Below are 26,872 nucleotides of genomic sequence, written 5' to 3' on the forward strand. Positions count from 1 at the left end.
ATTGCTTGGAAGCCGTTTCCCTCCAGCACTTATGCTGGGCCCTCTGTCTACCTGTGCAGCCCTGAGCACAGGTGCCAGCTGCCAGCCAGGACCTAAGGAGGAGCTAGCCAAGACCTCAGGAGGAGTTTGCCTCCTTAGCTGTCTTCCATCTGTCCTCTCCTGCACGTCCCCTCTGAGGGCTGACTCCACATCACACATGCCCATGTCACTAATAAAAACCAGACTTGCCTTTGTGCTTACCCCATGCATGTCCATGCATCATTAGACTCTGCCCTCTGCTTCCTCAGCAAAGAGCTGCTCTAATTATGCAGGGTAGGAGGGACAGAGGGCTGGCCAGAGCTAGTGGTCAGGGAGAAATGCTTCTGGACAGGTCAGTGTGGCTGCACTGAGAAGCCCGCCCTTGGCGAACACCACGTCATGATGAAGAGGCAGTTAAGATTCTCTTCCCAGCCAGTCATGGTGGCTCACACCTGTAATCCCAACACTTTGAGAGGCCGAGGTGGGCAGAACACTTGAGATCAGGAGTTCGAGACCAGCCTGGCCATCATGGTGAAACCCCATCTCTAATAAAAATACAGAAATTAGCCGGGCGTGATGGCACACCCCTGTAATCCCAGCTACTTGGGAGGCTGAGGCAGGAGAATCCCTTGGACCCAGGAAGCAGAGGTTGCAGTGAGCCAAGATCACGCCACTGCACTCCACCCTGGGTGAGAATGAGACTCCAAAAAAAAAAAAAAAATTTGTCCTCCCACACCTTCACACAATGTCTCTGTTCCCTGTCGCCATCTCATTCTGCCCAGGAGGGCTGTAACAGAGAGATAGGGATAGAGGACCCCGTAGAGATGTGATCTGTGTTTCTATCATACCTGAGAGGCCAGCAGAAGAGGTGGGGCAAGCTTCCTCTCTCTGGATAGACAGGTCTTGGGAACCATGGGTCAGTGATTCTCTGATAGAGTGCAGCTAAGAATCACTTGGGGAGTGCGTTAAGAATACAGGTTTTTCAGGCTCCCTCCCTTTCCCAGGTCTAGCCCAAGGCCTAGAAATCTGCATTTTGGGGAAGTATTCCAGGTGATCCTGATGTGGGTGATCCCAAGCCGTAGTTTGAGAAACACTGGTCTAGACAACCCCTCCTCCAGGTTACAGATGGGGAAAGTGAAGTCCTGGGGCTGAAATGGCTTACTGGGGATCATATGGAATAAAGCCCAGAACCCAAGTGCCACCTTCTTTCCATGCCTGTCACCTCCTACACACGGAACCTGCCCAAGGGGCCCTGTGGCCCAGATTCTGCGATTCTTACTTTGTCAGTTCTCTTATCCTGGCCTGGCCTTCCCCCTCACTGCCACCACTGTAAACTGGATGTGAAGACACGGAACGGGGTTTCTCCACAGGCCAAACACCTTCCTGCCTCCCTCCATCCTTCCCCCTCCACCTCCTACCACCAAGTAACTCTTCCTAAAACACAGACTTACTCCCTGCCCTGCCCCTCCAGGAGCAGGACAAAGTGGGAAAGGCCTGCCCTGACCCTCCACACCTCCCCTGTTTGACCCAGCCTATCTCTCTGACCTTAGAGCCCGTGACTCCGCTATCAACCCTTCTCCACATGCTTTCCTCGAACACCACCTTGCTCTTTCTTGCTTCTGCTCAACATCACCTTAGCCAACAGCACCCACTCCCCACTCACCGAATCCTCCTTATCTTCCAAGGCCCAGGTGAAAGCCCTCCTCCTCCAGGAGGCCTTCCCTGACCATCTAGCCCTAGCACACTCGCCCTCCTTTGAGCACTCAGATCTCTGAAGCATTTGTTTATGATGTTATTATTACCTATTATGTTCTGCTTTGAATTGTGAGCTTTAAGTAATTCCCAACTATGGACCACAGCCTACCCTTCTATTACCCACCCACTTAGCAATGTGCTGTGCACATAATCAGTACATAAGGGATGTTAGCAATAACGGAGCCGTGCAGTGCTGGGGCTGAGGGGACCTTGGCCTGTGGGTAGCTGGTTGGTCAGTTCAGTGACTTTTCTATGCATCTTGGGCTGGTGAACCTCCAAAGGCTGACCTATGCAAATTGGTGTCAGATCTTTCTCTGGACGGTGCTTCCACTGTAGTAATCAACTTCCCGCCTGTCCCCGCCCACAGCCATTGCATCCTGTGGCTTTAACTTTGGCCACAACCCTGCTTGCTTAAAATGCCTCCTGTGCCAGTGAGTCAGTTCCACCCTTCTGCTACCAAAACAATCGATCTTGTGCATCTTCTGTGGCTGTGCCCCAACAAGACATTATCAACATTCCCGCACTGGCCAGGGGACTCAGGTGTCTGGCCTGCCACATCCATTCCAGCCAATGACCAATTTCTAATTCACTGCAACTCTCCAGCTAAGCTGATTTCCAGCTGCTTCTCTGGCAGGCCTGCCAGATGGGGCTAACATGCTCTTGGAGACCGTCCCACAGAAAGCCCAGGCAACAAGCACACTGGTGCTCCTCTCGCTTCATTTAAGACAAGCATCCCTCTTTCACTAAGCACTGACCAACACCTCTTCATCCATCGCTAGCTTACAATCACGGCAACAAGAAGTTAATTCTAGACATACTGACAGCTTAAGTTCTGGGACCTCAGCCAAACTTTCAGAGAGGAGCCCTTTCTTCTTTGTTTATAATAGGATATGTGTCCTGCAAGGGAGAAAGGCTCTCTCCTGCCCAGGACCCTTGCAGTCCGGAGGTGGGGCAAGTTACCTCCAAATCTTGGAGGTTTGGTAGAAATCCTTGCAGGAATCTGAAGCCTGGACACTATGACTCACAGTCCTGTGCCTGGAGCAGGCTCGCCTGCTTGGAGAAAGTGCAGTATGCAACCCAAGTTGAAGTGTTCTTAGGAGATGCCTTTGTACTCTCTTTCTACAATACAAGAACTGTGCTTCCGACCCTTCAAAATCACCTCCACAGAGCATGAAGTTTCTGTTTTTCTCATTAAATACAACCATTTCTATTTTCTTTTCAACAAAAAAGTATTTAAAATCTCTACTTACCAAAATAAGTCCACTTGGAACCTACAAAGAACAAAACACAGTAAGTAAGTACAATGGAACCAGATGAGTAATGGAAAACACTACAGATTTTGTTTTGATATGAGCGAAATTGAAAAGGAGGTCGATGCCCAGAAATTGAAACTTTTTCTTTTTCTTTTTTTTTTTTTTCAAGGTGGAGTATTGCTCTTGTTGCCCAGGCTGGAGTGCAGTGGCGCGATCTCGGCTCACTGCAACCTCTGCCTCCTGGGTTCAAGCAATTCTCCTGCCTCAGCCTCCTGAGTAGCTGGGATTACAGGCACGCACCGTCACGCCTGGTTAATTTTGTATTTTTAGTAGAGATGGGGTTTCTCCATGTTGGTCAGGCTGGTCTCAAACTCCCGACCTCAGGTGATCCGCCTGCCTTGGTCTCCCAAAGTGCTGGGATTATAGGCGTGAGCCACCATGCCCGGCCAAATTGAAACTTTTTCTGAGTCTGCATCAGAACAGCAGCTTCTCAGGGCAACTGTGCTCCAGTCAGCAGCACAGGCAGTTGGTTCATGCAGAGGCTCATGGAAGCAGGAGGGGGTTCTTGAGCAGGTGCCTTCCAGACATCTTAGAGAAGCTAAACTTTATTACCTGAATAGGCAATAATTTCATGTGGCTCAAAACCCAAAAGCCATCAAATGGTATATACAGTAGAAGCTCTTCTTCCCACTCTACCTTCCCTGCTTCCATTAGACAAGGAGGTTAGCTGATGATTGGGAGCCCTTTCATGGCATGGCTACACACACATATGCATTGATCTCCCTCTTTCTCCTCACACAAACATTGGCATACTGGAAATAGTGTTCTGTGTCTTGCTTTTTCCCACTTTACATTTTCTCTCTCTCTCTGTCTCTCCCCTCCCACTCTCTTTCTTTCCTTTCTTTCTTTCTTTCTTTCTTTCTTTCTTTCTTTCTTTCTTTCTCTCTCTCTCGCTCTCTCTCTTTCTTCTTTTTCTTTTTCTTTCTCTCTTTCTCTTTCTTTTTGTGAGACAGGGTCTCACTCTGTCACTGGAGTACAGTGGTGTGATCGCAGCTCACTGCAGCCTCAACCTCCTGGGCTCAAGCAATCCTCCCACCTCAGCCTCCCTAGTAGCTGGGATTACAGGCGCGCACCACCACACCTGGCTAATTTTTGTATTTTTCACAGAGATGGAGTTTCACCATGTTGCCCAGGCTGATCTCAAACTCCTGGGCTCAAGCGATCTGCCCACTCCAGCCTCCCAAAGGGCTGGGATTACAGGTGTGAGCCACAGCACCCAGCTGGGAAAAAGTTTCTCTTTGAGGAAGCTGCTACCCACATCTGAGTTAGAATTCCAGGGGTAGTAGGAATGTGTAGGCAAAGTTCTGCCAGAAAGAGAACAAAAGTCACCCACTACTTCGCACTCCACACTCTTCATGCATAAATGTTCTTCGTTCCTATGTCAAAAAAGGTCTTTTTCACAAGTGCAGAGCTGTGCTCTTGTGACCCTGCCTGCCGGCCTTCCTCTTCACCTCCGAGGAAGGGACCCTGAGTAGAGAAGCATCCCACTGTGTGTCTCAGGTGACTCATCCAATGAGGGGACTGTGCAACTCCTAAATCCCTGCCTCCCAACTTTTCCCAGGGTCTCCGTGGTTCTCGACCCACAAGGGTACAGATGGAAAAGCGTACCCTTGTGGGGAAGCACCTCACATCCCCTTTCTCTCGTGGGAATTAGTTTGCAGTAAAACTTAAGTGACAAGCAATCTGGTCACTTATCACTCCTGGCATTTCCTACTTAAGGAAATTGTGTTTTTTAAAAGTTAAAAAGTGAACTTGGCTTTTTTTTTAAAAAAAAGCCGGTTTAATCTCATATTTTTTGTTATTCTGTTCCATTTCTTTGCCTCAGTGTTTGTAATTAATTTTGTTTTTAATTTTCCAATGTAATTGGTAATTTTTATCAAATTACACTTGCACGTGGTTTAGAAAGTCAGATGGTTCTACAAAGCTGTGTAACAAAAACCTCAGTTCCCTGACATTCCCTAACCATGTACTGCTCCCTAGAGCAACCACTTTGGATCTTTTTAAAATGATTCTTTTGCTATTATCTCCATATCTCTATATAACATGCTAATATTGTTTTACCTTGATTGTTTTATGTTTAGGCATTATTTATTGACATCCCACCCTGGAAGAGAAGAGTTCAGATCTCTTTCTTACACTCATAGCCCATCTCCTCCTTTTGTAGGTGAGGAAATGAAAGTCCACCAAGGTGAAGTGTCCTGACCAATATCATATTCCCACTGGAAGGAGTCCCACCGCATTTACCATTAATTTAGCATTAGTGCCATGAACTTAGGGAATCTTCAAGTCTCCTCAATCTTTGGAGTAGTTAAGTGGAGGAGTCCAGACCCCCTGGAGTATCCGATGAGTATTATGGACCTCTCCCAGTAAAAATTTCCCTAAGCTGGCTGGGTACGGTGGCTCACCCCTGTAATCCCAGCACTTTGGAAGACCAAGACAGGCAGATCGCCTGAGGTCAGGAGTTCGAGACCAGCCTGGCCAACATGGTGAAACCCTGTCTCTACTAAAAATACAAAAATTAGGCAGGCGTGGTGGCGGGTGCCTGTAATCCCAGCTGCTGGGGAGGCTGAGGCAGGAGAATTGCTTGAACCCGGGAGGCGGAGGTTGCAGTGAGCTGAGATTGTGCCATTGCACTCCAGAATGGGTGACAGAGCGAGACTCTGTCTCAAAAAAAAAATTTCCCTAAGCTTAGACACATAAAGTTTTATATACAAGTCATTTCAGAAGGTCCACAGACTCCCCTGAAACCAGCTATGGGTGCATTGAGAGTTGAGGGTCCCAAGATCAACCTCCCTTGAATTAGTAATTAGACATTCAGAACCACGGGGAAACCAAACTTGTATGTGACCCCCAAGTTTACTGCTCACCCCTTTGCTGAAACAACAATGAAAAAAAATAAAGAAAGCATTGCTTTCAAACCAAGCTATAGAAGACATAAAACCTCTTCTGGACATTTTCTTCAGTCTTTTGTGTGAGAGGTTCATTATTAAGATGTAATCCCAGACCTTAGAGATATAATAAGCCAGATCATTACCTCTTAGCAGGCAGAACAGTTGGAGGCCCAGGATGTAAAATTCCACAAATAACAGAGGAGTTCACCCTTACTTTTCCCCTGAGGAGGCACAGGCCACTCCAGTGATCCTGGAGGCCACTAGAAACACATCTGCTGCCTGAGCACTGCTGCCTTGCCAGCAGTTTGCATTGTACCTGCTCACATTCAAATCATAGCCTTATACCCTACATCTTCTGCTACCCTCCCAGGGCTCGCTAATCAAGGTTTTCCCTGTTGTTGGAGTTCTCATCCTCAGATGAGGCCTCAGCATCACACTCTGGAAAGCTCAGGGCTAAAAGTCATAGAGTGGACATCTGGGACTGTGAGGTCGCGGTGGTGACATAGGACTGGGGACTTGTTGAAAGGCAGCAGCCTCCAGAGCAACATTCCCTGCCCTCCTCTCTGTGAGTGAGCTGGCTTGGGACTCCAGACTCGGCACTTTGGGTATAAATGGCAGTGTCTGGAGGGGCTCAGGAGCTGGAGGGCTGGGGAGAAGCGGCGTTGTAAGTGAGGATGGTGAGTCAAGGGGGTTCATCGGGTGAGGATCAGGGCCCCAGCTCAGCTCTGACCTCAGGAAGTCTCTCTAAAAGTGTGTGTATGTGTGCGTGTGTGTGTGTGCACGCGCACGAAAGTGTGCTTTATTCAGGAATTGCACCCCCTGGTTCCCCACTTCTAGCTGTAAGAACAGAAGGCTTAAAAGGATTAAACTGATTCCACAAGCGAGGCCAGGCCAAGGCCTCAGTGGCATCCTGAGGGAGCAGGCCCTTCCTGGAGGGGAATAGTTTCCTTCCCAAGGAAGGTTATCTGTTCCATCTGGGAAACCTGGGAGGCTCAGCCTGAAACCTGTTAGAACCTGCAGACCCAGCTGGTACTGGGCAGGGAGGTTCCCCTGGAGGGAATGCCCAGAGAAAATGGTATTTACCAAGATCCATATCAGAGGTCCTGGGCCCTGCCTGCTTCCTGTGCTGGGTGCTAGAACTTTCCCTGAGTAACCATCTCCTGGGTAGCCCAAGACTGCCTGGCTCTCCACACCAGGTTTGGGCAGGGCAAGCTCTGCAGAATTCACTGAAATGCCCCCCAAAGCCACGGCAACTAAGAATTCCAAGGGTTTCTCCAGAAGACACTTGACTTCACATTATTATGCTCCCTCCTGGGCCCCTGACATTGTTCTTGAACATTCTCCAATGCTGGAAGTTTAAATGCACCAGGCAGAGAGCAGATCACACTTTGACCCCATTACTCAGCTTAACTCCTCTCCACCTCCAACTTTGGGTTCATGCTGACATTCTACACCTCAGTGATTTTTGCTTTGACCTGTCCTCTAAGGCAGTTAAAAACCCAAGGAAACTGCATGAGAATTTACAGAATAAAAGCTGTGCTCTACCCAGGGGTAGGCAGTCTCCTTCCTCAGAGTGAGGCGAAAGTGGAGTTTTGACTACAAACTTCCCCAGTCCCAACTTGGAGAATTGGGAGAGGAGATAAGGAGGAGGGAAAGGGAGAGGGAAGAGGAAGAGCAGGGAAAGTAGGGAAGAAAGGAAGGGGAGGGAGGGAAGAGAACAGGGAAGGGCAGGAAAAGAGAGAGAAGGGAGGCAGAGCTGCCCCAGAGTGAGAGGAGCAACCAGCTATAGGAAAGAGGGCCAACTAATGGCTGTTTCTCCCTTTGGTCTTGGAGCAACTTAGGACTAAAGAGATTTCCAGGGAAACTTTGGTCTCAGTGCAGCTTTCGTAAAAGGAAACATGTAAAGTTTGTGGTTTTAAAACTTGATTTTCACTTTTACATCGCTCCTTTCTCCCAACTTCTGTTACATCGCTTCTGTTTCTCCCTGACCAGATGAGGGAGATAATATCAAGCACATCATGCCAGCTAGTTGACTGGAATTTAATTAAGAGTTATCCACAGCCTGGCTCCCCTGCCCTTCCCCATGGGCACTGTGACCTCCAAGAGAGGAGGCTCAGAGCTTTTATGCTGCTGAGCAGGACACATTTCCCACCACCACTGCCTCGCCAGGAAGAATCTAGTTTCAGCCAGTAAAATCACTTTCGGTCCAAAATCACTTTCTTATTCCAAAAGATTAATGAACCAGCCTTGGCTGTACACGTGTTAGCTCACTGGCCCGGCGTGAGCCCACAGTTCAGGTCCCCTCTGCCACCTCCTCCTGTCACTCCACGGAGCCTCCATTCAGTCCCTCAGCCTCCAGCCTTTTGGGATTTAGTGTTCTAATTACAATCAGAAATATGCTGTGTGTGTGTGTGTGTGTGTGTGTGTGGTTTGTGTGCGTGCGCGCGTGCGTGTGTGTGTGTACGTGCACACACACGTACATTCAGCATAGTAGAGCCCTCCTGGAGAAAAACAATGATTAAGAATGGGATGCATCATCCCTTTGACTTGTAGGTAAGACTTAATGGTAAAGATCCTCTCCTCCAAAGAAAAGCGCCTACCACTGTCTGCGGGTTCTGCACAGGGGCACAGCAAACCTTTCTCTGTGCTTACCCCAATCAGAATGCCACAGTCATGTCTCTACTTTCTAAACGTGGATCAGGGGAACGCTGTTTTAAATCTTGGCTTTGCATCTCCTCCCTGGTTAGCAAGTTCCCAAGCCACATCTTCAGAGCTGGCGGTGCCCGGGAGTACACGCAAACATTTTAACACCAAATCTGCGCCAAGCGCCACTAGAAAGCAACGTGCTTCCCGACCCAACCTCAGCAAAGGAAAACGGAGCATCCTTTCTTGAGAATCTACTATTTGGTACTACACCTTCCCTGCTCCCCGCAGCAATGATTTTACTTTATCATTGAAGAGCCTTCAGCCCAGGGGCGGCTGAGCGCTCAGGAGTGTTAGGAAAGAAGCAGGCGGAAACTTTACCGTTCACTGGGGCCGGGCTGGAAGGCTGTTCCTTTAAGATCACCAGCAGGAGCACGGCCGCCGCGTGCAGGCTGCGCCGGGGCATCTTCGCGGGCTCCTGCGGGGCGGGCGCGGGCTGTGCCGGGGGCTCCCGGTGGCCGCTCGCTCTCCAGCTGCACACCGGGACCGCGTGCGCGCAGCCTGGGTGCCGTGGCGAGTACGTCCGCCCTTCGCTCTCCTGGCTTCCCCGGGCAGCTTTTATGGAGCAACTCAACGCCAAACACTTGATGTCATCGTGCGGGGAGGGGGTGGGGGAGGAGAACGCCCTGCCCACCGGAGGGCTGGCGCCCCAGATCCTAGGTGAGTTGTAGCCTTGACTTCAGCAGCACTCTGCGGGTCCCCGGCGCTCCTCTGGGCCAGGGCTGACCCAGGAACACAGTTCTCCGAGGAGCTGCTGGCAGGCGTGGGTGAGATCCGCCTGTCTCACATCCAGAAGGGTGCGTCTAGGGATTCCTTCAGTGGCATGCCCTTGGTCTGTCACTGGTCCTGTAACAGCCCAACGAGTTCACCTTGCCCGCTGCTTAGACAGAGCCCATTTATCAAGACAGGGGAGTTGCAATGGAGAAAGTAATTCACGCAGAGCTTGCCGTGCCGGAGACCGGAGGTTTTCGTTCCTTTGTTTGTTTGTTTGAGACGGAGTCTCGCTCTGTTGCCCAGGCCGGAGTGCAATAGCGTGATCTCGGCTCACTGCAACCTCCGCCTCCCGGGTTCAAGCGATTCTCCTGCCTCAGCCTCCCGAGTAGCTGGGATTACAGGCACATGCCACCATGCCCAGATAATTTTTGTATTTTTAGTAGAGGCGGGGTTTCGCCAGTTTAAGGCTGGCCTTAAACTCCCGACCTCAGATAATTCACCTGCCTTGGCTTCCCAAAGTGCTGGGATTACAGGCGCCCACCACCACACCCGGCTAATTTTTCTAATTTTAGTAGAGACGGGGTTTCACCATGTTGGCCAGGCTGGTCTGGAACTCCTGACCTCAAATGATCCACCTACCTTGGCCTCCTAAAGTACTGGGATTCCAGTACTCAAATCAGTCTCCCCAAGCATTCCGGGAGTTGTTTGTTTGTTTGTTTGTTCAGACGGAGTCTCCCTCTGTCGCCCAGGCTGAAATGCAGTGGCATGGTCTTGGCTCACTGCAACCTCTGCCTCACGGGTTCAAGCGATTCTCCTGCCTCAGCCTCCTGGGTAGCTGGGATTACAGGCACGCGCCGCCACACCCAGCTAATTTTTGTATTTTTAGTAGAGACGGGGTTTCACCATGTTGGCCAGGCTGGTCTTGATCTCTTGATCTCGTGATCCACCTAAAGTGCTGGGATTACAGGCGTTGAACCACTGCACCCTGCCTCTGGGAGTTTTTAAAGATAATTTGGCAGATAGGGGCTTGGGACTTGGGGAGTGCTGATTGGTCAGGTTGCAGATGGGATCACAGGGGGGTTGAAGTAACGTTTTCTTGCAGTCTTCTGTTCCTGGGTGGGATCGCAGAACTGGTTGAGCCAGATCACACACGGTCTGAGTGGTGTCAGCTGATCCATCCAGTGCAGGGTCTGCAAAATAGGATGTTAGATTTTACAATAGCGATGTTATCCCCAGCAGCAACTTGGGAAGGTTCAGACTCTTGCAGCCTGACGCCGCAGGACCCCTAAACCATAATTTCTAATGTTGTAACTAATAGATTAATCGTACAAAGGCAGACTGGCACCCAGGCAAGAAGGGGGTCTTTTCGGGAAAGGGCTATTATTGATTTTGTTTCTGAGTCAAACCATAAACTGAATTCCTTTCTAAGGTTAGTTTGGCCTATGCCCAGGAATGAATAAGGACAGCATGAAAGTTAGAAGAAAGACTGAGTCATTTAGGTCTGATCTTTGTCACTGCCATAATTTCCTCAGTTATAATTTTTGCAAAGGCTGTTTCAGCCCTACTCAGAATCCCCCAAGTATAGTGCCATTTGGGCAAAAGCCTCCTTCATGCTTTTTTTTTTTTTTCTTCAGGTGCCTGCCTGGACTTAGCACAGGTTAAGGAACTGGACAAGATAGTTACATTCACATGAGTTTCTGCCAATTGTTCAGTGCATCCTGATTAAGTTCTTACCTTCCAAGTTGAGATGCAAAGAGATGAACTGAGAATAGGAGAACAGCACAGTGGGGTACACATGAAGAGCTTATCACAATTCCCCTTAGTAACGGGTAAGTAGATGGGACTCATGCTGGTTCAATACATCATTCCATCCTCACTAGGAAGCTGGGAGAGAGGGTCCCTCTTTTGGGGTGGCAGCAGAAGAAAGGGACTTACATTATTTACTGAGCACCCGTTGTGTGTCAGGCACTTTTTTGGGGGGCTTAGAACATGATACCCCAAAGTATGGCACCTTGGCATGCTGAGTACTTTGAACTGAAGGAAACTGAAAAGGCCTCAGAAACAAGGTCTCTCTGACCTTCTCCCATCCTCCTGTCTCCTGCCCCTTCTTCTCCCGCTAAGTGAATCATAGAAACCAGAATCCCTCTTCCCCAGGCAGGTCATAGAAAGTAGAGCCCCTCTCCTCCACAGCAAGCCATAAAATCTAGAAACATCACTCTCTCCCCTCTCCCTTCTCCTTTAAAGACCCTCATTCGAGAGGGGTCCTGCCCCATACCCAGGAGAAAGCAATGCTACACAGAGAGGTCAAGAAGAATTGGAACGGACAGGCCTTGCTGGGTTCCCCTCAGTCTATCACTATGAGATCACACCCTTCTCTCCAATCACATTTCTATACGGCCATCCATGTTCTTCATCAAACCTAAGCAGAAACACCGTTCTCCCTGAGTCTTTGGGTCTTCATTTCTGAAGTCTCTTGTGTCACTTGTTGGCCTGTCTTTTGTTATTTGAGTGTCAACTGTGACCTTTATGATGGGGGAGGAAAGGGATCACACCTTTCTGTCCCTACAGGCTGTGCTAGACCTACAGGCTGTGCTAGAGAAACAGGAGTGTTTCTCTAGTCTTGTTAACCTGCTGCCCCAATACCCCCTAAATCTTCCCACTGCTGTTGCCACCACTGTAGTCATTTGTGCTTCTGGCTTCCCTGGGCCCTCCGTGTGTCTCTGCACCGCTGCAGGGGCCAGGCTCGGTTTCCTCCCCGCTCTATGATCCTACTCACTGCTGCCTATGCACACTGCTCAGGTCACATGGGCTGCGGAAGGGTGTCCACCCCAGTTCTGGTACAGGACCCCTGGGTTTGTGACCTGGCCTGTCATGCCCTCTTCTCTTGGCCACAGCAGCCAGACAAGCCCTCTCTGATCTCACATCTGTGCTGACCCTCAGCCTGTGCACACTCTCAGGCCAGCCTTAGTGACCAATGAAGCCACTTGTCCGTGGTGGGTTTGAAGGGATGGAGTAACTTCTCCTCCAAGAGCCACCAAAAAGCAGATGCCACCCACATTTCAAGGGGTGTTACTGCTCTGTCCCTACCAGCTCAGCTACTGTGTGGGTTAATAAAGGGCTTTGAAGTCTCCTTAAGGAAGTTGTTACAAAGACAATCTTGTTACAAGCACTTCCAGACCACAGTAGGCTTAGGGATCATCTTTTCTGCCTGATAGAGGGCCTCGAGTGAGCTCTGGAGTGGTGCAGGAGTGTTTCTCTTGTTCAGATTTGTCATCAAGGGCAGTCTGTCTGTTTAGAAGATTAAATGGACTAGAGGAACACAGAGCTTGGGGAGAAACCACTGCAGGCTCAAAGACGCAGAGACCGAATCTGTGGAGGTGAAATCACTTGTTGCGCATGTCACAACCAGTTAAAGGTAAACTGGGCCATGCACACATATTTTGGTATTCCCACTCCAGGTGTTCACCCATCATGTCTGTCTAAACATTAAGTTCATTGTCTCCTGGAACATGCACCTCTAAGTATTCTCCAGAGATCCCCAGAGATGGAGAGGTTAAAATGGCAGAAACAGGTGGACTTCATAGACCAGTAAGGCTAGATTGTGAACTGGGTTTCATAGACAGAATGAACAGGGCTGAGATGTTTACTGCATGGCTGTGTCAGAAACTTGGTTAATTAGTAAATAATGGATAGCAATTAAAAGGGAATTGAGCATGTAAACTGAGACCCAGAATTATTATTATTATTATGAATGGAATGACCACAGGTATTCAAGTTGAATGTCAAGGATCCCCCCCTGACAAACAGCACAGACCCAACCAGCTTAAGTTCCCAACTCTGGGAATCCTTTGTCTGCTTCCTCAGGCTTGTGCAGATGAACATGCAAGGGCTTGCTGTGCCATCATCAGCTGGGGCTGTTGTCAGCCAATAAATAACCCATTGCTCAATGAGTTAGGGTAGAAAGTAGACCTTCTGCACTCAAAATGTGGCAATTGGCCACCAAATGACATGCCTAGACAGGGAATGGTACCCCCTAGGATGTTACCATCTGAATAGACACAAGGGTGAGGCTGGTGAGTCAAGGGGCAGAGAAGCAGGAATGAACAAGGATTTGGTGTTAGGAAGTCTGGGTTGGCTGAAGTGCCTGCCCCACCACTTCCTCAATGGCTGACCTTGACCGTGATGCAAGCTTTCATCCTCTGTAAAATGAAGGTGTAATCCATACCCCTGAGTCATCATAGAATTGATATATGGCTGGAAGGTGATAAGGCCAGTGGACATTTTCTTCATTCATTCATTCATTCATCTTCTATGTGCCAGGCACTATGCTAGGCTCTTGGAGAGTGCACAAACATAAAACAAATAATCTCATGAATAACTATATAATTACAACTCTAATGAGTGCAATAGAAGGTTGAGATATGACTGAGAGGGGCCCACTCTGTCCTGGGGTGGTGAGGAAGACATCATCAGTATAAGGATTATGTTTTGTGACTTCATAAAACCTTTGAAATGCACAGCACATACCAGGCTCTTCTTTCCCAAACCTAGTGCCATTTGGTGGCATTTGCCCTGACATAGCTAGTTGTTAGCCTTTCAGGCATAAAGGTTAGAGTATAGAGAATTTTGTTTCTTAAGGTGATAATTTTATTTCTTAAGATAAGAATGAACTCTTCAAATGGTGTCACTCAATTGGGAATGCACCTTTATATGGAGCTAAAGAAAGGACTGCTGGGAGGAAAATAGACATTTAGTGAGCACCTACTGTTTGCCTGCCACTGTGCTTGACACTTTATTCTTACAACAACATGCAGGGATAGTGTTAGGTTTGCCATTTTATAGATGAGGAATCTGAGGCTTGGAGAAGTTGAATCTTTTCTAGTTCATGAGGAACCCAGATGATTTTGTCTCCAAGGCCCAGGCAGGCTCTTTTCATGGCTGTCCTACAGATACCTCAGATGGAGATGTTTTCTTACTGGGTGCCTCTAAGAGGAGGATTCTCCAGTTTTCCTTCTTTTCTTTTCTTTTTTTTTTTTTTTTTTTTGGACAGTCTTCTCTGTCGCCCAGGCTGCAGTGCAGTGGTGTGATCTCTGCTCACTGCAACCTCCGCCTCCCAGGTTGAAGTGATTCTCCTACCTCAGCCTCCTGAGTAGCTGGGACTACAGGCGTGTGCCACCACACCTGACTAATTTTTGTATTTTTGGTAGAGATGGGGTTTTACTATGTTGGCCAGGCTGGTCTTGAACTCCTGGCCTGAAGTGATCTGCCTACCTCAGCCTCTGAAAGTGCTGGGATTACAAGCATGAGCCACCATGCCTGGCCTACGGTTCTCCAATTTTCTAGATGCTGTGATCGTTTGTTTGTTGATCAGAGGCACGTGTACCGATTGTAGCAATCAAATAATGCTCAGCATGGGATATGGCTGTGTCTGAGGGACCAAGGGACCCTGTATCATACTCTGTGATCAGTGGATAGAACATTTGCCAAAAGAAGAGCTCAGAGCTTTGAATCGACGTAGGTCTCAAGCAAAGGAAGGAGAATGTGAGCCATACCAAATAGCTCTTCTGTTACATTAACGAGGTTTGCTTTGACTTAGGAAGGCCAGACAAGACAGAGGCAGAGAGGGAAGGGGGAGGAAGGGAGAAGAGGGAGGAAGGAGGGAAGAAGGAAGGAAAAGTCCACATTGTATCCTTTGACTGGGCAGTGGCTGAGGGAACCTCTAGGCCAAGACTCACATAGACCCATTGATCTGGGTACCAATGTCTGTGTTTTAAAATATAGCCAGTTTTGTAGTTTTATTCACATCTGCGTCTTCCCTTTCACGGTGATGGCTTGGAGGCGTAACCCCTGTGTGAACCCTCGCTGCCCTGCTCAGTTTCAGGCGGGATCAGTTGGAGGACAGTGTGACCTGGAGGAAAGAATGCCAGGCTTCTGACTCTGCCAGGAGCCAGCAGTGGAATGTCAGCAAGTCCCTTGCCGTGTTTCTGCTTCTGTTTTCTAATCTGTAAGTCGAAATAAGAATGTCTAACTCCACACAGGGTTGGCAGTGGGATGAGGCCGTATATGTGAGAGCACTTTGGGAAGAAATAAATAACGACATTTGTCGTACATAAGATGTCACTCCTAAGAGTGGACTTCACAAGAAAGGAAGTGTGTTTGATCTCAGCTTTGGTTTACTAATCTAAGAAAATAAAAACTGGATTCCAACAAGGGATTGTAAATTCTCACTGCATACCTGACACCAGTTACCATGATGACTCTTGTCTGGTTACTTGATCCCTGAGTCCTTCAGCTCCTACTTCTGTTGAGTGGGGAATAACAGCTCTTCACTGAGACTTTTATAAAGCACTCTGTGTGATTAATTTAAACATCATAATAATTCAAATTTCTATGCATGGGGAAACTTAGCATTTTACGTGAAGTAAACCTTGGTGCAATAGTGTCACCTCTTTCCAGGTGCATTATTCACAATGTCATGGTTAGCTGACACTCAGACATTTAGGAGATATAGTTAGACTGTAATAGCTTAAGGTTTCTCACAGCCTTCTCATTTTTCACACCTGCTGGGGAACCCACTCTCCTCTAGCCTCAGGGATTTGGTCCATATCCTTCCTGTTCTTCTTGTTCTCAGTCTGAAGCACTGTCCTCTCCTACCCGTCTTCTAAACCATAGTGTATTCACAGGCCACATTCCAGCAAGCTCACAAGTGCCAGCCTGACGTGAGTAGTGCTAATATCAAATCTGACAACTTCCGTTCGGAGTCAGGCAGGCAGAATGGTATAGGGGGCAGAGCTTTGGCATCATACGAACCTGGGTTTTGAAACTCCACCATTCACCACCCTGTGTGACTCTGGGCCAGTCATTCAACCTCTTTGAATCTTGATTTCTTCCTGGTTAAAGGGATGAGAGTCCAGCCAGGCACGGTGGCTCATGCCTGTAATCCCAGCACTTTGGGAAGCTGAGGCGGGCGGATCACCTGAGGTCAGGAGTTCGAGACCAGCATGGCCAACATGGTGAAACCCCATCTCTACTAAAAATGCAAAAATTAGCCAGGCGTGGTGGCGCATGCCTGTAATCCCAGCTACTCAGAAAGTTGAGATGGGAGAATTGCTTAAACCCGGGAGGTGTAGGCTGCAGTGAGCTGAGATCACACCATTGCACTCCAAGCTGGGCAACAAGAGTGAAACTCCATCTCAAAAAAAAAAAAAGAAGAAGAGAAAGAGAAAAATAGAGATGAGGGTCCTAGAGTAAGTATACCCCAAAGGGAGAAAGGGAGGAATACATTTAATCAGCTAGGCATATGAAGAACTTAGCACGGCGGCACATAATGAGTACTATGTCAATGATCTTTGTCCTCTGTGGAAACATCCTTACTGGATGAAGTGGGGCTGCTTCTCCCAAAGTTCCAACCCTGGTTTGGGCAACTCCATCAACTTCCATGAACCCTCAGGGAAGAACGAGTAGAGATTTCCAGATATCCCTTTCCCCCACACATTGGCCTCTCATAGAATGTAACTTTGGTCATAACAAACCCAGTCTTATTACTGAAATAAGTTGAAGCCTTCTAAACAAGTAGGCTTAGAACCTCTTTTCCACAGGAAATGCCTGATCACTGGAATTTTGTAGCTAGAAGGTATTCCTGAGCTCAGAGATGCCACATACTATTAAAATTATTGGTAATTTCCTCTTGCTTGGGCACTCAAGCTCTCTACCATTGCAGGAATTCATGAGCTGACTCCTTTATTTCAGGTGCTTCCAAACAAAACTGACAAGCAACACCCAGTTGCCTACATTTTAGTTTGCATTCATCTCCACTGGGTGTAGGGTACTAGGAGCATGCAGCACAATTGTGCTTCTCTTCCAGCTGGAGTCTGTAGACTGAGCCAGGCCACCTTGTTTAGGCTCTAGTGCCTGACAAAGAGCTCAGTGGGCTGGAAGCCTAGTGCAGTTAACACTGATGGCTTTGTAGCTTGGACAGGTGAAAGTCAGCAAGCTTCCCAGTAGACCAATTGATCTGAGTTGCCTCTCTGGCCAGAAGCCAGCCCTGGCAGGGATCCAACTTCCTCTCAAGCACTGAGAAAGGGCTCAGGTGTATCTGGTGGCCGGCAGAGCAGGTAGTCAGCCAAGGCTTCATAGTTCTCACCCACGGCAATTCAGCTAGCAAACTAGAGACACTTCCCCAAGAAGACACAGCGTGGCAAGACTGCTGAGACGCATAAAGAAATCTTAGCTGGTGAGTTACTTCTTTATGCCTGCCCCACTTGAAATAAGAGTTTGGGGCTCCTTTTACTGTGATTAAAACTGGATTATTTATGCTAGCATCTCTGTTTTTTGACACAGCTATGCAAAACTTTTTGATCTTACATGTCTCTGTTTTCTTTACTGTCCAGGATTTTGTGGAAAGTAGAAATGATAGCAAGATATAGTTGGAGTTCTTAAAGAATGTTCAAAGAATCAGAAAGTTCAAACCCCAGAAACTTGGCTTCTCTTTAGAAATTCTGTTTCCCCTGAGGACAGTGGAGAAGGAAAAATACCTCCATAACTCCATTTTTATGATAGGGATTATGCCACTTAATCCCAGTGAATATTTGTAAAATTATTTTGAGACGTTTAGGAACGACATCATAGTCCATAATTACAAAGTGTATTGGTGCTTGTAACTGTAGAGATGTTTGTTTTTAGTGGGGGAATCAGACCTGTCTGTGATAAGAAGGCTCCCTGGGTTCATATCACCCCTGAGATATTCCAGTTCGTAGGAAAGAAGTCAATTCAGAGGCAGTGAATGAGAGAAGTCCCATCATAATAGGTCTTATATAACTAGCCGTCAGCAGAAGGGAACTGCTAAAAACTGGGGGAAAGGGCACAGAAAAGTTATGGAAGGAGCAGTGCTAACTTGCTGCAATTGTCCCAACAAGAAGGAAGGTGCAGGGAAATGAAAGATAACTCTGTGGCCTCTTCCAGGGCGATGAGCAGCATAGTGCTTTTGTGAAGATTCCACCCAGAGTCTGATGCTGGGCAAAGCATGTCTGGCCAAGACTGGAAACAGAACTTTTTTTTTTTTTTTTTTGAGTCTGAGTCTGGCTCTGTCACCCAGGCTGGAGTGTAGTGGCACGATCTCAGCTCACTGCAACCTCTGCCTCCCAGGTTCAACTGATTCTCATGCCTCAGCCTCCCAAGTAGCTAGGATTACAGGTGCTTGCCATCACGCCCAGCTAATTTTTGTATTTTTAGTAGAGATGGGGATTTTGCCATGTTGGCCTGGCTGGCCTCAAATTCTAGCCTCGAACTCCTGGCCCCCAGCGATCCACCTGCCTCGGCCTCCCAAAGTGTTGGGATTACAGGCATGAGCCACTGCACTCAGCCTGGAAACATAACTTTAAACATTGAACTGAAACAGGGAAACATCTCAGCCAAGTGATTTTTATAAAGAGTTATTAACAGGGAACTTTTAAAAGAAAAAAAAAAGTGATAATCCAACCTACCAGATAATGACTCTTCATTCTTACATGTTCCCTTCTTCTTGTCCATGTCAGCAAAGAAATATACCTGGTTACTATGGAGAAAAGATACCCTATTGTATATACTACTTTTTTAAAAACTAACATTGGATTATAAACACTTTCCAACATTTCTACATAGTCTTAATTATTTTAACATTGATAAAATCTTAAGACAAGTTCCAAGAAGTCATGAAGCCCGGAAAGATTAGTGATCTAAAACAGGGAGTCAAATTTCTTAAGTGACTTCCTCTAGAAGTTCAGGGAACTCCTAGAAGAGCAGCAAAGCTCCAACTTGAAGGATCCAGATACATATGACAATAGGTAGACTGTTGGTAAGTCAGTGGCTTGATGGCTTAACGGGGACAATAACAGGAGGCGAGTATACCCACAGGGCCAGACATGCTGGGGAAGGGAGCCCACTAGAATGGGTCCAAGCCCATAGCCAAGAGCAGAAGCTGCCATAGCGGCGGTCAAGGAGGCTTCATTCTAGATCCACATGCTGAACAGTGCTTCATCAGCAGACTCTCTGAAGAAGCTTCTGCACCTTGGAGCTCCCAAAAGAGATCAAAAGCCATGATCAAGACCAAGGGAAAGGTGGGGGAGTTGTGGGAGCTGGACACAAAGGACATTTAACTCCTTGTCCCACTTCCAGCAGCTGCCAACCATCCTCCTCCCACTCACTCCTGGCTCTCTTTTGCTCTCTTCTCTTTTTTTTTTTTTTAAGACAGGATCTCACTCTGTTACCCAGGGTAGAGTGCAGTGGCATGATCATACCTCACCGCAGCCTTGATCTCCTGAGCTCAAGAGATCTCCTACCTCAGCCTCTGAAAGTGCTGGGATTACAGGTATAAGCCACTGTGCCCAGCCTTCTCAATTTTATTTACTTCTGTCCCTTTAACTTACTCCATCCCTCAGACTGAAGAGTCAATGGGCTGTGATCTTTAGTTCCAAACTCTACATGCTGTCCTGGGGGATCTAAGGCAGAGGTCAGAGGAGGAATGAACTCAGATATCACGGAGGGATAGGCGAGAGCATTAGGAAGTTAGCAATGAAGAGAGTGTTCTGGGGAACAAGGTGACATTTTTACTTGTTCCACTTCTTTATTGTTTGGAGTTTTTTAAATGGCAGATATGTTGCAAACTAAAACAATCACATAAAATTTTTTTTTAATTGAAGGAGGTAAATGTTTTGTTTTCTAAGAGAAAGAAAAGAAACTGTCGATAGTGCCAATAAAAGCAGCAGAGAGATCACTCAGCGCATGTGCAAAGACAAGGTCTTGGATAACAAGTTCTGCAAACCACAGAGTGCACAGAATCTAGAAGCCAGGAAGAAGAACGCTGAGACGCGAGAAACTGTGACTGAATGATATGAGAAGGGCCATTTAAAGACTTTTACAGAGAGGACAAGGAGAGAGAGCAAGAAGAGAAGGAGCTCCTAAGATTTGAGAAACTTGAGGCAAATAAACAGAATAAGGGCTAGGTGCGGTGGCTTATACCAGCACTTTGGGAGGCCGAGGTGGGCAAATCACTTGAGGTCAGGAGTTTGAGACCAGCCTGGCCAACGTGGTGAAACCCCGTCTCTACTAAAAATACAAAAATCAGCCAGGTGTGGTGGTATACACCTGTAGTCCCAGCTACTTGGGAGGCTGAGGCAGGAGAATCACTTGAATCTGGAAGGAAGAGGTTGCAGTGAGCCGAGATCGCGCCACTGCACTCCAGCCTGGGTGACAGAGCGAGACTCCATCTCAAAATATAATAATAAACATAAACAAAATAAGGACAGCAGCCATTTCTGAAGCCAGGAGGAAATGTTCCAGATGGAGGGGAGCGGGCAAAAAAGAGAGACAAGAGCAGTGAGGAGAGAGCCATTAGGCGGCACTGCAGAGAAAACTGTTTGGAGTTTTGAAAATTTTTTATTGTGGAAAACTTCCCAACCCATATAAAAGTGGAGAATACATACTCAGGAGGTGGAGCAGGAGGATTGCTTGAGCCCAGGAGTTTGAATCCAGCCTGGGCAGCAGAGGGGGACCCCATCTCTTTAAAAAAAAAAAAAAAAGGAGACAGTATGGTCATAATGAATCCCTATATACCCATCATCCCTTCCCCAGATTATTTTGAAACAAATTCAAGACATCACATTATTGTGGTGGCTCTCAAACTTCAGCATGCATTTGAATCCCCTGAAGGGCTTGTCAAAACATGGATTGCTGGGCTCCACCCACTGAGTTTCTGATTCAGCAGGTCTGGCCTGAGAATCTGCATTCTAACAAGTTCCTGGGTAATACTGATGCTGCTGATCTGAGGGCCTTGCTCTGAGAACCCTTGTAGTTAGTATTTCACCTATAGATATTTCTCTTTAAAAAGGACTGCCTTATTTAGACATAATCATGATGTTATCAGCACACATAAAAATCAATAATAATTCCTTAATATCATGTTTCCCAATTATCCTCTAAGTGTTTTTGTTAACCATTTGTTTGAACTGGGATCCAAACAAGGTCTATGGATTGCAATTGGTTAATATGTTTCTTTAGACTCTTTTCCTCTATAGGTAGAGTTTGAATGGGCAGCATGAGAGACAGTTTGAGCAATAGTTGAGAGAGATATGCAGATGTGTGTTGTGAAAAGACTATAGGCCGGGCACGGTGGTTCTCACCTGTAATTCCAGCACTTTGGAAGACCGAGGCGAGCAGATCACCTGAGGTCAGGAGTTTGAGACCAGCCTGGCCAACGTGGGGAAACCCCATCTCTACTAAAAAATACAAAAAATAGCCAGGCATGGTGGTGGGTGCCTGTAATCCCAGCTACTCAGGAGGCTGAGACAGGAGAATACTCAGAGGCTTGAACCCAGGAGGCGGAGGTTGCAGTGAGCTGAGATTGTGCCACTGCACTCCAGCCTGGGCAACACAGCAAGACTCCATCTCAAAAAAAAAAAAAAAAAAGCACAAACTTTGGTTTTGATCCCACCTCTACCACTTACTAGAGATACATGAAGACAATGAAGATAATAAGTCTATTCATGGACTACTTTGACAATTATATAAAAATTACGCCTGTAGAGTGGAATCCATACATATTACGGCTAAGGAATCAGAAGCTCTGTGACCTGGGGCAAGTACTTAACTTCACTAAGATCAGTTTTCTAATCAATAAAAAGAGAGATTATAGCAATACCTATTTTATAGGGTTGTGAATGAGCTAATGAGTGTCAACATCTTAAGCACACTACCTAACCTGTAATAAGCACTCAGACTTGGTATTGTTATGAAAATAACAATTATTCTAGCCACACAATGAATGTCACTCCTCTTCCTCCTAAATAGGAATGCCTTCTCAGAATCTTGATTTTCAAAGTGATGGATTGGGAGATCCCAAGCCATGAATGTGAGTTTGTGTATTTCCCTTCTTATTTATTTCTCAGTTCAGTTAAAGCCACCATCATCCTCCTAGTTGCCCAGATTAGGACCTTTGGGATCAACCTGAACTCCACCCTACATTCACCATATCAGCGTTTCCATCTTAAGGGGGCTTCTGGGATCCATCCCCAAACGGAATGCAAGAACCTAATGGTGCCTAGCACATGATAGGTCCTTAGTCAGCATTGATTATTTGTATTTCCGCTGCCTCTGCTCTACTTCCAACCACTGTCATCTCCCACCTCCACTGCCCCATCCCCTCTTCCCTGGTCTCTCCCACCCTAGCCTCTCAGTCATTGTCCATCCTGCCAGAGTGACACACTTTCTGTTTTTCCCACCTTCTCATCCTCTCCCCTCTCTTCTCTCCCTCTCTCTGTTTCTGACTGCAACTGTAGTGAGTGGAGTATGGGGCTCACTCATTATCCATCGTGTAAGGAGTTGCTCTTGTTTTATTTATTTGATTTCCCCCCCACCTTCATTTCTGATACCCATTCTCCTTCTTCCCACACGCTGTCACTCTGATATTGTGATAATGTATTCTTGGGTATGTATGTGAACTTACAAAATGTTAGAAATGTTTGTTCCCTGGTGCCACAAAGAAATAGCACTCGAACATACATTTAATTCTCTCAGCAAAGCAATTTTTACTTTCTGCAGAAAGGGTGCTCATCACAGATGGAACAATGGCGAGAGCACACCTGGACAGGGGAGGGGCAGGAGTTCTGATTCCTGACACAGGTAGGCCCTGCTGCTGTGTTGTTCCCCTGTTGGCTAGGGTTGGACCGCACAGTCTAAGCTAATTTTGATTGGCTATTTTAAAGGGGCAGGGGTATGAGTCAGAGTGGCGGAGTGAGTAGTTTGGCAGGAAGGACAGTTAGGAACAGGTAACCAAAGGTGACTTAGGTCAGAGAAGGTGACCAAGGGTGACTCAGGTCAAAGAAGATGACCACAATGAGTCAAGATGGAGCAGGTGACCAGGGGAACAGATGTGAACTACTGATTAGGACTACGGGGAAAGTTGTTTACTTAAACTAGAAGCAAGTGGGCAAAGAGAACCAGGAAGTTAAACTTTAAAATGGAGAATCAAAGAATAAGAGAGCTGAAACTACTGACGTGCTGATTCTTTGAAGAGAAATTTGCAGTTCACTATATTTAACAAAAATATGTTATTTTGTGTGGTTTGGTTTTTAAACCTACCTACCGCATTTACTTATCCATTCCCCTAGCAAATGCCCCAGCTCCCTGCTACCAGTACTACAGTGAGGTGAGTGTTTTTGTCCGTGATCCTTTAGGACCTGTGTAAGAGTTTCTCGGAAGCATATGTCTAGGAGTGGAATTGCTGATGCATATTTATTTTCACAAAGTACGTCTAGGTTGTGACTGCGAACTGCAGAACTCTCTGCCCGTAATGACTCTGTCCAAACCCCTGCACTAAGAGACTTGACCAAACCCTAGCATGGCTTCTAGCAGCTTAAGACCATGTCCCTAGGATGATACCAGCCTCCCTTAAAATGCTTGCCTGGAAGCTCAATGCTGCCAGGAGAATTTACTGTTTATTCTGGCCAAAACCTGGTGATAGGCAGATAAGCCCCTGAGCTCCCTCTTAGAGCAGTTATTTTAGAAAGCTTGCAATTATAAATCTTTCCTTTGCCCTTTGAGATGTAAATCTCCCACCCAAAACGGTCTCCTCAAGGATCTGAGAGCCCTCTCTTTGAAATGCAGATATTCAGGGAGCTATAGCTCTTCTCCCAGGAGGATAAGGGCCTAACTGCTATGGATGCCTTACTTTAGGAGAAGTGTGTTTATCCTTCGGATAAGCACCAGTGAACAAATCCAGGTGGCGCAATCACATAGACTAACCCTCCCTTAACACCCCACAGTGCCTTTCCCTTAATCTTTAAATAGTCTCCAGTACTTTGCATCAGGTACTCTGTTCACACTCTACTCTTTTTCCTTATTGCAGTAGTCCCTGAATAAAACCTGTCCTGGCTGCTTTAACCGGTGCCTGGCTCTATCTTTGACATGCCCTAGAATACAGTGTTTGTTTCCTTTCCGTTTTGTTTCCTTACAACCTGCCAGAGTTTGGTATTATCCAGTCTCCTAATTTTCCAACCTCATGGGTAAAAAGACTTAGTCTTGCTATTGTTTTAATTTTCATTTATCTAAGAACTAGTGAGGTTCACTTTGGGAGGCTGAGGCGGGTGGATCATGAGGTCAGGAGATCAAGACCATCCTGGCCAACATGGTGAAACCCTGTCTCTACTAAAAATACAAAAATTAGTTGGGCGTGGTGGCGGGCATCTGTAGTCCCAGCTACTCGGGAGGCTGAGGCAGGAGAATCACTTTAACCCAGGAGGCGGAGGTTGCAGTGAGCCGAGATCGTGCCACTGCACTCCAGCCTGGGCAACAGAGTGAGACTCTGTCTCAAAACAAAACAAAACAAAACAAAAAAACTAGTGAGGTTGAGCAAAACCAGTGGGTTTTTTGGGGTGAGTCACATATTCATATCCTTGCCCATTTTCCTGTTGTATTCTCTTTTTCTGATTGATTTGTAGGACTTTCTTATATATTCTGTATAATAATCTCTTGCTGGTCTTGGGAGTCTCAAATATTTTTTTCTCAGTCTATCACCTGTCTGTTCATTTAGATAACTATATCTGCCATCGTCATTATTGTTAATTTTGATATAGTCATCAATTTGAGGGGCAGGGAATACAGTTACACTTTTTGAATGTTTTTTAAAAAAATTCTTCCCCACTTCTAAGGTCATAAATATATTCTGACGTATATATATGCATACACATGCATATCTATGTTTTGTAGGGTGGTGTTTCACATTTATATCTTTAATTCTTCTGAAGTTCACCTTTGCTTATGGTGTTAGGAATGCAGCTTAATTTTTTTCCATGTAGTGAGCCAATCTTCCCTACACTGTCTACTAAGCAACCCATCCTTTCCCCATTTACTTGTTTTTCATACATCAGGTGCACATACAACAAAACACATAAGCATACCTATGAATTTCTGACACTTTCTCACCCTTACTCTATTTCCATGCTTCTACACCACAGTGCCGTAATGTTTTATTATATAGCATTGGAGTATACTGGGGCAAGTCATTCCTCTTTGTTCTTTTTCTGAAATTGGCTCAACTGATGGTGGACCTTGTTTTTTTCTTCTATATAAATTTTGAATATGCTTTTTTTATTCCCTCAAAAAATTCTGTTGGGACTATACTGAAAGTGCCTTGAATTTTTAGACTAATTTTGGGAGAATTGTTATCTTTACATGTTAAGTAGTCTTGTCTACCAATGTGGCATATCTCTTTCCTTAAGTCTAATGTCCTTTGATAGTTTTATATTTTTCTCCAAAAATTTATTTTGAATATTAAGTTGATTTTTTAGTTGTGTTGCTCTTCTGAAAATTATCTTATTTTCTATTAGGTTTCCTGGTTGAATGTTCTGTTGTAGAAGAATGCAACTGAGTTTTCTAAACAGATCTTCTTCTTGACATCCTTGCTGAACGTAAGTATTAGTTCTAAAAGTTTTTCTATTAAGTCTGTGAGGTTTTCTATGTAGATAATCAGATCACCTGTACATAACGACAGTTTTGCTACTTCCTTTCAAATCCTATACCTAGTACTTCTTGTCTTATCACATTGGCCAGGACCTCCAATACTATGCTGAGGAGTGGCAGTTCTTAGAAGGAATGTGGGTGTATCTTTACCTGTTATCTCCTTCCTTTCCCCTGATGTACCCACAAGCTTCATCTCCTGCTGGTGCAGGACTAGTGATACTGTTCTGTCTTGCAGTGGAGTTGGGGAAGACTATAATCTGCCCATGGAAATACAAGGGAGGAAAATAGTCTAAGATAAAATCTTCCCCACCTACAGCACTGTCCCTTTTCCCCTGCAGTCTGCAGTCGCAAACACATACACTGGGCTCCAACCATTTGCTGTCCCTCTAGAAACTTCTCACAATTATCACATTAGATTCTCAGATCCATCAGTTGCACCATTTCTGAGACACTCCCAGAACTAGGTTGACAGAGATAGCCAGGAGCCCCTGTTGGGTCCCCATTGTGTCAGTATCCAGAAGCCAGAATGACACTTCTAAAATAGTTATAATCATGAGAATGTTTTAATCAAGGGCCTTTAAAGCCCTCATGTAAGCCCTTTAATATCACATTCAAAGGTCTTAACAAGCTGGCCTCACTTCCTTTTCTACTTCCCATAACACACCCTACACTCCAACTACCCTGGGTGATGTTTTCCCCAAAAAATGCTGTGCACTTTAACCCTCTGTTTACCATACGTTTACCTCTGTATGGAATTCTCTCTCCCCTTTCTCACATTGAGAAATGCTACTCATTCTTCAAAGCTCGGAACAAAAGTTGTCTTCAAGAAGTTTTCTCTAGTTCATGCCATTGGTGTAAATCATTCCTTCTTCAATACTCCCTGGAGCACTTATCTGTCAGATTTGCCTTATAGTTTGTTGCCAGCAGAGCAAAAACTGTGTTTTATCCATATTTCTATCTCTAGTTCAGTTTTTCACGCACAGTAGA

General features: G+C 46.3%; 1 protein-coding gene and 1 long non-coding RNA gene across 5 annotated transcripts in view, besides 2 other annotated features; one reads left to right on the forward strand and one right to left on the reverse strand.

Moving 5' to 3' along the window:
- Window positions 1–9,212, reverse strand: part of CA12 (carbonic anhydrase 12) — a 60,469-nt gene extending 51,257 nt beyond the window's left edge. For all 4 annotated transcript variants that reach the window (NR_135511.2, NM_001293642.2, NM_206925.3 and 1 more), the window contains exons 1-2: window positions 9,002–9,212; window positions 3,024–3,044 (exon numbers count right to left, since the gene is read on the reverse strand). Coding sequence is in view for 3 of the 4 variants with exons in the window: in NM_001293642.2 (NP_001280571.1) it covers window positions 3,024–3,044; window positions 9,002–9,086 (106 nt within the window). In the remaining variant the exon portion in view is untranslated. The remainder of the gene's footprint in view (window positions 1–3,023; window positions 3,045–9,001) is intronic.
- Window positions 8,896–9,416: an enhancer, noted in NCBI's record as "H3K4me1 hESC enhancer chr15:63673729-63674249 (GRCh37/hg19 assembly coordinates)". NCBI's record gives its function as "activates a minimal SCP1, AML or CMV promoter by ChIP-STARR-seq in naive and primed H9 embryonic stem cells {active_cell/tissue: H9 hESC(naive and primed)}" and the evidence as "EXISTENCE:reporter gene assay evidence [ECO:0000049][PMID:30033119]".
- Window positions 9,417–9,936: an enhancer, noted in NCBI's record as "H3K4me1 hESC enhancer chr15:63674250-63674769 (GRCh37/hg19 assembly coordinates)". NCBI's record gives its function as "activates a minimal SCP1, AML or CMV promoter by ChIP-STARR-seq in naive H9 embryonic stem cells {active_cell/tissue: H9 hESC(naive)}" and the evidence as "EXISTENCE:reporter gene assay evidence [ECO:0000049][PMID:30033119]".
- LINC02568 (long intergenic non-protein coding RNA 2568) overlaps window positions 17,596–26,872 on the forward strand; it is a 47,307-nt gene continuing 38,030 nt past the window's right edge. Inside the window, exons 1-4 of the long non-coding RNA NR_120375.1 lie at window positions 17,596–17,627; window positions 22,217–22,277; window positions 22,967–23,047; window positions 25,753–25,833. This is a non-coding gene — a long non-coding RNA (long intergenic non-protein coding RNA 2568). The remainder of the gene's footprint in view (window positions 17,628–22,216; window positions 22,278–22,966; window positions 23,048–25,752; window positions 25,834–26,872) is intronic.

Source organism: Homo sapiens, chromosome 15 (genome assembly GCF_000001405.40).
Source record: "Homo sapiens chromosome 15, GRCh38.p14 Primary Assembly".
NCBI classification, from domain to species: domain Eukaryota; kingdom Metazoa; phylum Chordata; class Mammalia; order Primates; family Hominidae; genus Homo; species Homo sapiens.